The sequence below is a fragment of the Homo sapiens genome, chromosome 19, assembly GCF_000001405.40.
Source record: "Homo sapiens chromosome 19, GRCh38.p14 Primary Assembly".
Classification (NCBI taxonomy): Eukaryota; Metazoa; Chordata; class Mammalia; order Primates; family Hominidae; genus Homo; species Homo sapiens.
Window position 1 is genome coordinate 3,584,206 of NC_000019.10, and position 9,722 is coordinate 3,593,927.

Below are 9,722 nucleotides of genomic sequence, written 5' to 3' on the forward strand. Positions count from 1 at the left end.
TGGCCTGAACCTCCTGGTCTTGAGTTTGAGACCAGCCTGGGCAACACAGTGAGATCCCAACTGTACAAAAAATTAATCATGTTTCTAAATTAAATTTTAAAAAACTGAATGCGGCCGGGTGCGGTGGTTCACGCCTGTAATCCCAGCACTTTGGGAGGCCAAGGCAGGTGGATCACCTGAGGTCAGGGGTTCGAGACAAGCCTGACCAACATGGTGAAACCCTGTCTCTACTAAAAAATACAAAAATTAGCCAGGCATGGTGGTGTGCGCCTATAATCCCAGCTACTAGGGGGGCTGAGGCAGGAGAATCGCTTGAACCCAGGAGGTGGAGGTTGCAGTGAGCCGAGATCACGCCATTGCACTCCAGCCTGGGCGACAGAGCTAGACTCCGTCTCCAAAATCAAACAAACAAACCAAAGGCTGGGCGTGGTGGCTCATGCCTGTAATCCCAGCTTTTTTGGAGGCTAAGGTGGGTGGATTCCTGAGGTCAGGAGTTCAAGACCATCCTGGCCAACATGGTGAAACCTCATCTCTATTAAAAATACAAAAAAATTAGCCGGGCATGGTGGTATATGCCTGTAATCCCAGCTACTGGGGAGGCCGAGGCATGAGAATTGCTTGAACCTGGTGGGCAGAGGTTGCAGTGAGCTGAGATCGTGCCACTGAACTCCAAACTGGGTGACAGAGCGAGACTCCAGCTCAAAATAAATAAATAAATAAAAATAATAAAATAAAATAAAACAATGACCTCGCCTAGCAGAGGGTGAGTGCTCCAGCACCCTCAGCTGTCCCTGTCCTTTTTTTTTTTTTTTTTTTTTTTTTTGCGACGGAGTCTCGCTTTGTTGCCCAGGCTGGAGTGTAATGGCGCCATCTCAGCTCACTGCCACCTCCGCCTCCCGGGTTCAAGAGATCTCAGCCTCCCGAGTAGCTGGGATTACAGGCGCCCGCCACCACGTCCGGCTGATTTTTGTATTTTTGGTAGAGACGGGGTTTCACCATGTTGGCCAGGCTAGTCTTGAACTCCTGACCTCAGGTCATCTGCCCGCTTCGGCCTCCCAAAGTGCTGGAATTACAGACGTGAGCCACCGCTCCAGGCCTGTCCCTGTCCTTATTTGTGGTCCCTGTTCTTCCAGGGTCCTGAGCTCAGGCCCCCCCGGACTGCGGGTATCCCCGGGGAGGGCACAGCTGGCCCTGGCAGGGCCCGGACACCTGGGGCCCGACCCACCCCTGCGCACCCCGCGGTGTCGCCTTCCCGGGAGGCTCGGGTTCCCAGATCCCCTTACCCGGGCGTCTCGGCTGTCGCGCCCTGGGCCGGGGGAGGGGAGGCTGCAGGAAGCGGCGGATCCGGCGGCGGCGGCGAGGGCCCGGGTGGGTGGCCGAACTTCTCCCGCCATGGAGGGAGCAGCGGCCCGGGAGGCCCGGGGGACCGAGACCCCGCGCGCGTCTGCGCCCCCGCCCGCGCCCTCGGAGCCCCCGGCCGCGCCCCGCGCCCGCCCGCGCCTCGTCTTCCGCACGCAGCTGGCGCACGGGAGCCCCACGGGCAAGATCGAGGGCTTCACCAACGTCCGCGAGCTGTACGCCAAGATCGCCGAAGCCTTCGGGATCGCGCCCACCGAGGTAAGGAGCCCGGACACCGGCGCCCAAGACCACCCGCCTGATGGGGTGAGGGGTAGGGAGCTTGGACCCTGGACGGGAGACCCCAGATCCCCGGATCCCAGACGTCGGGGTGGCCGCCTAATCGCCGGATCTCAGAGACCCAGCCCTCAGATCCCGGGGTGCCACACTCCCAGGGGCCCCCTTTGCACGCTCTGCGCAAAAGATGGGCAGGTCTTAGGACTAGCGGACCCCTAGATATTCCAGAAAATCCTCTGCGCAGACCTAGCTTGGAGCGGACCCCAGCCCTCGGGGAAGCGCCTCTGTGCTTCCTGGGCGTAGCTGGGGTCTGGGGTTCCAGATGGCCCCCTTAGGGATGGGAAGTTTGAGGCCGCCGTGGGGTTGGGGGGTTCCTGGGCGTTTTTCCAATCCGGGTTCGTTTGGTTTGCAGCCCCCAGGGGGCGCCAGCAGATTAAACCTGGAGGTCTGGGGGCTGGAGGTCCCGGGGTATGGAGAGGGGTCTCCACCTGCTGGAAGTCTCCTTCTCCCTCCTCTCTCTGTTCTGGGGGTCCCACGCCCTGCCCTTTCCCATGGGCTGGGATCCTGGTCGCTGGGGGCAGGGGCCTGCGCAGACAGGGTGGCTGCGTGGGGGGATGCATGCCCTGGCTAACTCTAGGCTCCTTCTCCCCCGGGAAGATTTTATTCTGCACCCTCAACAGCCACAAAGTGGACATGCAGAAGCTCCTGGGGGGTCAGATAGGCCTGGAGGACTTCATCTTTGCCCACGTGCGAGGCGAGACCAAGGAGGTGGAGGTCACTAAGACAGAGGATGCTCTGGGGCTGACCATCACGGACAACGGGGCTGGCTACGCCTTCATCAAGGTGCCCGGGAGGGGGTGGGCGGGTGGCTTCCTGGGGTCCAGCAACTGCCCCCCCCACTCTGGGTCGACGTGGGTTCTGCGGATTGGAGGCGGGTGGCTGGGGTTGCCCTGCCAGCGACGCTGGATCCCTGCAGAGAATCAAGGAAGGCAGTATCATCAACCGGATCGAGGCAGTGTGCGTGGGTGACAGCATCGAAGCCATCAACGACCACTCCATTGTGGGCTGCCGCCACTACGAGGTGGCCAAGATGCTCCGGGAGCTGCCCAAGTCCCAGCCCTTCACCCTGCGCCTGGTGCAGCCCAAGAGGGCCTTCGGTGAGGCGGGTGGGCTGGCGGGAGCTCTTCCCGAAGTGCGTTCTACGGATGCCTGGGGTGGAGGAGGGTCGGGGATGGGACGGGCTGGAAGGTTCTAGGTGCACCCGCTGCGTGCCAAGGAGCTCCTGGCAGGGTATCAGAAACTCGTAGGTAGTTTCTATTAATAGATTGTTATGGAGTCAGCCTGTGGGGGAGGGGTGGGGGAGAGACTGGGTAAAGTGGAGTTGGAGGAGGACGCGTCCAGAACCACTTTGGAGCCAGGCTGGGAGACTTGTTTTTGTTTGTTTGTTTGTTTGTTTGTTTTTGAGACGGAGTCTCACTCTGTTGCCTGGGCTGGAGTGCAATGGCGCGATCTCAGCTCACTGCAATCTCCACCTCCCGGGTTCAAGCGATTCTCCTGCCTCAGCCTCCCGAGTAGCTGGGACTACAGGCACCCACCATTGCGCCTGGCTAATTTTTGTATTTTTAGTAGAGACGGGGTTTCACCATCTTGACCAGTCTGGTCTCGAACTTCTGACCTCAAGTGCTCCACCCGCCTCAGTCTCCCAAAATGCTAGGATTATAGGCGTGAGCCACCGCGCGCAGCCTGGGAACTTTTAAAGCAGTGCTTTGAGGTCATGGTGGATTGTAGAGAATGAGAATATGAGAAAAAAGTTTTCTTTCTTTTCTTTTTTTTTTCCTTTCTTTTTTCTTTTCTTTTCTTTTTTTTTTTTTGAGACGGAGTCTAGCTCTGTCGCCCAGACTGCAGTGCAGTGGCTAGATTTCAGCTCACTGCAAGCTCCGCCTCCCGGGTTCACACCATTCTCCTGCCTCAGCCTCCCGAGTAGCTGGGACTACAGGCGCCCGCCACCACACCCGGCTAATTTTTTGTATTTTAGTAGAGATGAGGTTTTACCGTGTTAGCCAGGACGGTCTCGATCTCCTGACCTCGTGATCCGCCCACCTCGGCCTCCCAAAGTGCTGCGATTACAGGTGTGAGCCACCGCGCCTGGCCGTGCCAGCTAATTTTTAATTTTTTTCTTTTTTTGAGACGGAGTTTTGCTCTTGTTGCCCAGGCTGGAGTGCAATGGTGTGATCTCGGCTCACCACAACCTCTGCCTCCCAGGTTCAAGTGATTCTCCTGCCTCAGCCTCCCAACTAGCTGGGATTACAGGCATGTGCCACCATGCCTGGCTAATTTTGTATTTTTAGTAGAGATGGGGTTTCTCCATGTTGGCAGGCTGGTCTCGAACTCCCGACCTCAGGTGATCTGCCCGCCTCGGCCTCCGAAAGTGCTGGAATTACAGGCATGAGCCACTGCACCCTGCCCATTTTTTTTCATAACTAGACTTTCTCAATGAAGAAAACAGTGTATTGATTTACACACTAGCACATTCTCCTCATGTAGCCATGGGTTGGCCCTTTGGATAGCGTTGTTCTATAGAACAGAGACAGAGATTCTAGAAGTGCCCCAGCACACATGGAGAGACGTCCCAGGGAGAGTGAGCTGTATGGGGTTCTAGAATCTGCCCTGCCGTGGCTGTGAACTCCAAAAGCCATGCCTAAAAATAGAGTTTAGGCCGGGCGTGGTGGCTCACACCTGTAATCCCAGCACTTTGAGAGGCCAAGGCAGGTGGATCACCTGAGGTCAGGTGATCCATCGTATCAAAAAAAAAAAAAAAAAAACCTGGCTGGGTGCAGTGGCTCAAGCCTGTAATCCCAGTACTTTGGAAGGCCAAGGCGGGTGCATCACGAGGTCAGGAGTTCGAGACCAGCCTGGCCAATATGGTGAAACCCTGTCTCTACTAAAAATACAAAAAATTAGCTGGGCATGGTGGCAGGTGCCTGTAATCCCAGCTACTCGAGAGGCTGAGGCAGGAGAATCGCTTGAACCTGGGAGGTGGAGGCTGCAGTAAGCCGAGATCGTGCCATTGCACTCTAGCCTGGGTGACAGAGCAAGACAACATCTCAAAAAAAAAAAAAAAAATCAAGCTTAGTCTGAGACTAAACCCAGCTCTAGAGCCCAGGCCAGCTCTCAGACCAAGCCCTGCTCTTAAGCCCAGGCCAGCTCTGAGACTAAGTGTGTTTCTAGCACCTCAGTCCTGACACTAAGCCGGGTTCTGGAACCCAGACAAGAACATATCTAGATTGAGGATCCTACCACAAGGAGGGTCCCAAGCAGTCCCTTCTAGAGAAAGTCGCTAGAAGAGGGAGAGTGAGGGCATGGAACTGGGATGTTAGTTCTAAACCTGCTCCATTACAACACCTCATTCTGGACTTGTGATTTAGTTTGCTGGGGATGCGAAGTGTGGAATCTCGAATAGGTCTCTGGAGACTTGCCGTACAGATGTAAGGAGGACTTTGAAGGGGAGGAAGATTCTAGAAAGGCTCGGCTGTTGGCCTCCCAGGGTTTACAAAGATGTGGCTCCACCCAGAACCCATGGCCATCCCTCACTCTGTTCCCTCCAGATATGATTGGCCAGAGAAGTCGGTCCAGCAAATGTCCAGTAGAGGCGAAAGTGACCAGCGGGAGGGAGACCCTGCGGCTTCGTTCTGGGGGGGCTGCCACAGTGGAGGAAGCGGTGAGTGAAGGGGAGGGGCTCTCCCCAGGCTTCTGCACCTTCAGCTCCTCCACTGAGTCAGTGCGGTCTTGGGTAAGAACTTCTCCTCGGAGCCTCAGTTTCTCTGCCTGCAAAATGGGTCCTCATTGAAAAGTGGGGCAATGATGTTGGTACCAGCACTACTGACTCGTGTGAGGGTCCAGTCTACTCTTCCCTTAGGGGTGGGGGTCGGGAGGGGGCTGGGCTGGAGGGCTCCAAAGCTTTTCACCCCTGACTTCCCTCCCGTGTGCCCCCAGCCCAGTGAGTTTGAGGAGGAGGCATCTCGGAAGGTTGATGACCTGCTGGAAAGCTACATGGGCATTCGGGACCCCGAGCTGGGTAAGGGGCCAGGGTAAGCCAGGGGGCCCTGGGGGGAGGGAAGCCTACGGGAGGAGGCAGGGGTCCCAGCGGGAAGTTGGGCGCGGGGAGTGCCCTCACTGACATCCCCTCTGGCACGGCCCGCAGCGTCCACCATGGTGGAGACGTCCAAGAAGACAGCGAGCGCCCAGGAGTTTGCACGCTGTTTAGACTCCGTCTTGGGCGAGTTCGCCTTCCCCGACGAGTTTGTGGTGGAAGTGTGGGCCGCCATCGGCGAGGCCAGAGAGGCCTGTGGCTAGTTTGCCCTGGGGGGGCCCAGCACAGCCCCAGCCCGGAGCCCAGCCCCCTGCCCCGGCCCTGCTCCAGAACCCAGCCCAGATCGGAGGACAAGTTCCTCTCTAGAACCCAATCCAATTTGGAGCCCCAGCCCAACTCCAGAACCCAACCCTTCTCTAGAATCCAGCCCAGATCTGAGGCCAAGCTATGTGCTAGAGCCCAGGCCAGCTCTGAGACCAAGCCCAGCATTGAGAATAAGCTCTGTTCTAAAACTCAGGCCAGCCCTGAGACCAAGCCCAGCTCTAGAACTCAGATGAGCTTTGAGACCATGCCCAGCACTGAGACCAAGCCCTGTTCTAGAACTCAGGCCTGCTCTGAGGCCAAGCCCAGCTCTAGAACCCAGATGAGCTCTGAGACCATGCCCAGCTCTAGAACTCAGATGGGCTCTGAGACCATGCCCAGCTCTAGAACTCAGATGGGCTCTGAGACCGAGCCCAGCTCTAGAACTCAGATGGGCTCTGAGACCGAGCCCAGCTCTAAAACTCAGATGGGCTCTGAGACCATGCCCAGCTCTAGAACTCAGATGGGCTCTGAGACCGAGCCCAGCTCTAGAACTCAGATGGGCTCTGAGACCGAGCCCAGCTCTAGAACTCAGATGGGCTCTGAGACCATGCCCAGCTCTAGAACTCAGATGGGCTCCGAGACCAAGCCCAGCTCTAGAACCCAGATGAGCTCTGAGACCATGCCCAGCTCTAGAACTCAGATGAGCTCTGAGACAGAGCCCAGTATTGAGACCAAGCCCTGTTCTAGAGTCCAGGCCAGCTCCGAGACCAAGCCCAGCTCTAGAACCCAGATAAGCTCTGAAACCAAGCCCAGCATAGAGACCAAGCCGTGTTCTAGAATTCAGGCCACATCTGAAGCCAAGCCCAGCTCTAGAACTCAGGTCAGCCCTGAGACCAAGCCCAGCTCTAGAACCCAGATAAGCTCTGAAACCAATCCCAGCATTGAGACCAAGCCCTGTTCTAGAACTCAGGCCACCTCTGAGGCCAAACCCAGCTCTAGAACCCAGATAAGATCTGAGACCAAGCCCTGCTCTGAAGCCCAGGCCAGCTCTGAGACGAAGCACATCTCTAGAATCCAGCTGAGCCCTGACAACAAGCCAAACTCTGGAACCCAGACACATTTTAAGACCCAGACCAGCTTGGAGACCAATCCCAGTTCCAGAATCCAGGCTAGCTCGGAGACCAAGCCCTGCTGGAAAACTCAAGCTGACTCTGGAACTCTGGACAGCTCCACGATGCAGCCACACCTGGACACTCGGTCTAGCTCCGGAACCCCAGTTAATTTTGGAACCCATGTGAGATTCATGAAGCAGCCCAGCTCTGGAACCCCAGTCAGCTCAGGATTCAGAGACAGCTCCCAAATCAAATCCTATTCAAGAACTCAGACCAGCTCAGAAACCCAGGTCCACACGGCTGCCCAGTCCAGATCCCAACCCCAGTTGCATCCAAGTGCCCATCCCCATCCTGCAGCCCAGTCCAGCTCCAGTGATGATTCCAGCTCTGAGACTGAGCCCAGCTCTAGAACCTCGCCTAGTGCTACAACCAGGCCCAACTCCAGGATTCAGACCAGCTCTGGAACCCCATCCATCTTGGAAGCAAGACCCAGCTCCAGCACACAGCTTGGTGCCAAGCCCCACTCTCCTTGCACAATGCAGCTCAGCTCTAGAATGCAGTTTACTTCCAGGACCCAGACCAATTTCAAGGCCTGGCCAAGCTCCAGAGCTCAATCCAGCCCAAGCACCGCACCCAGCTCTGGAACTCAGCTCAGTTCTGGAGCACAGGCTGGTTCTGAAATCCCAGCCAGCTCCAAAACACAGACAGCAGCTGAGACCCAGCCAAGTTCCAGAATCCAGCTAAGCTCTGGAGTCCAATCTAGTCCTGGGACCCAGGCCATCGCAGCAATAGAATTAAGCTCCACAGCCCTGTCTAGTTCCGACAGCAGGTCCAGCTCCAGGACCCAGCGCTGCCCAGGAGCTCGACCAGCCTCTGGGACTCAATTCGCCTCTAAAACCCTGCCAGGTTCTAGATACCAGCTCCAGACCACAGCCCCAGACAGCTCTGGTATTCAACTGGACTTTGGGAAGCAGAGCAGTTCTGAAAGTCAGCTTAGCTTTGGAACTCAGCCCAGCTCTGGGACCCAGATAAGCTCAAGAATTCAAGCCAGCTCTGGAAGTCAGCTTAGTTCGGGAACCCAGCTGATTTCCGGAGCCCAACCCAGCTCCAGAACTCAGACTAGTTCTGGAAACCAGCTCAGCTCCGGGACCCAGACCACTGCAAGAATTCAGCTCAGCCCTGGAGCTCATCTTAGCTCCAGAACCCAGTCCAGTCCTGAGACCAGGCTCAGCTCTGAGGCTCAGTCCAGCTCTGGAACCCAGTTCAGTTCTGGGATTCAGTTTGGCTCTGAAACCCAGACCGGCTCAAGAATTCAGCCCGACTCTGGAGCCCAACTTAGTTCCAGAACCCAGTCCAGCTCTGAGACCGGGCTCAGCTCTGAAACCCAGACCGGCTCAAGAATTCAGCCCAGCCCTGGAGCCCACCTTAGTTCTGGAACCCAGCCTGTTTCTGGAACCCAATCCAGTTCCAGAACTCACACCAGTTCAAGAATCTGGCTGAGCCCTGGAAATGGAATCTGCCCACAGACCCCTGGCCTTGACCCTAGAATCCAGCTTGAGGCCCCTGCCCCAGCCCAACCTCAGCCCCCAGGCCCATCCCCCAGAGACCCCACCCCAGCCCCTAGCAAAGACCCCCAGCCTCTGCCTCAGCCCCATGATCAGGTATGTGGCATCCAGGCCAGCCTTGGCCCCATCCCAGGCTTACCCCAAGCCTCCTACCTGGCCCCACAGTCACAGGTCTCCTCAACCCCCCAGAAGCCAGCCGTCTCTCCCAAGCCCCGGGTGGGACCCCAGAAGTCCACCCCACCCACCATATCTGTCACTCCTAGTCCTGCCCCTAGGGCAGCCCTCCTGAGTTCCCAGCTGTCTGAGTCCCCAGCTTTGGCGCCAGCCCTTTGCCCCACTCTGGGGGAGCCAGGAGCCCGCCCTTACCGCGGGGGGCCGTAGCTTGGCTGTGACTTAGCCCTGGTTCATGTGGTTCTCGTCCTCTCCTGTCCCTTCCAGCCTGGGGCCCCCAGAAGCAGCAAGTGACCTTATTTCTCCAGCAGGCGGTGGTAGGGAGTGTGCGGTGGTGAAAACAGGGGCTTCACCGGTCCTGGCTCAGATCCAGGTCCTTGGAGGGAAAAGGAGGGCAGGAGACGGGTTGCACCGCATGTACCCTGAGGGCTCATGGTGAATAAAGGCACCTTCCATCTCTGCAGCCTGGTGTGTCATTTTGGGGGAAGTTTGGGGGAATGCAGAGATGTGGGGCTGGGGGGCTGGCTGAAACTGTGGCAACACTGAATACCTCTTGAGCACCTACTGTGTACCAGGCACTTCATTAAGCACCGCACAGGCATGAGCTTACGTGCCTGCAGGCGACAGGTGCTCCACGAAGACCCAGCCACTGGTCCTTTCTACCAATATTTATTGAGCACGTACTATGTGCAAGGTGCTGTACAGAACACTGTGGTGTTTGAAAGGTTGCTGGGTGAACAAGTGAACAGTGGAGGAAACGGGCATCACTCCACGCTTTTGCATCTCTCTCTCTCTTTCTCTGTTTTATTTATTTACTTATTTACAGATGGAGTCTTACTCTGTCGCCCA

At 57.0% G+C, this 9,722-nt stretch overlaps 1 protein-coding gene across 2 annotated transcripts; it reads left to right on the plus strand.

Annotated features, from left to right (window-relative positions):
- Nucleotides 1,273-9,336, plus strand: GIPC3 (GIPC PDZ domain containing family member 3). Of its 2 annotated transcripts, none has more exons than NM_001411144.1 (6): nt 1,273-1,617; nt 2,290-2,475; nt 2,609-2,789; nt 5,238-5,350; nt 5,626-5,720; nt 5,834-9,336. In NM_001411144.1, the coding sequence occupies exons 1-6, from the start codon at nt 1,393-1,395 to the stop codon at nt 9,081-9,083; spliced, it is 4,050 nt and encodes a 1,349-aa protein (NP_001398073.1). In that variant the 5' UTR covers nt 1,273-1,392; the 3' UTR covers nt 9,084-9,336. The 2 variants fall into 2 exon arrangements, with proteins under 2 accessions (NP_001398073.1, NP_573568.1); NM_133261.3 differs by having other exon boundaries at nt 5,626-5,707.

What these genes read in the sequence shown, in the direction of transcription:
- GIPC3 (NM_001411144.1), top strand. Translation starts at nt 1,393, where the DNA reads ATGGAGGGAGCAGCGGCCCGGGAGGCCCGGGGGACCGAGACCCCGCGC. An exon ending in CTGGCTACGCCTTCATCAAG is followed by an intron (nt 2,476 to 2,608) that starts GTGCCCGGGAGG and finishes GGATCCCTGCAG; the next exon opens with AGAATCAAGGAAGGCAGTAT. An exon ending in CTGCCACAGTGGAGGAAGCG is followed by an intron (nt 5,351 to 5,625) that starts GTGAGTGAAGGG and finishes GTGTGCCCCCAG; the next exon opens with CCCAGTGAGTTTGAGGAGGA.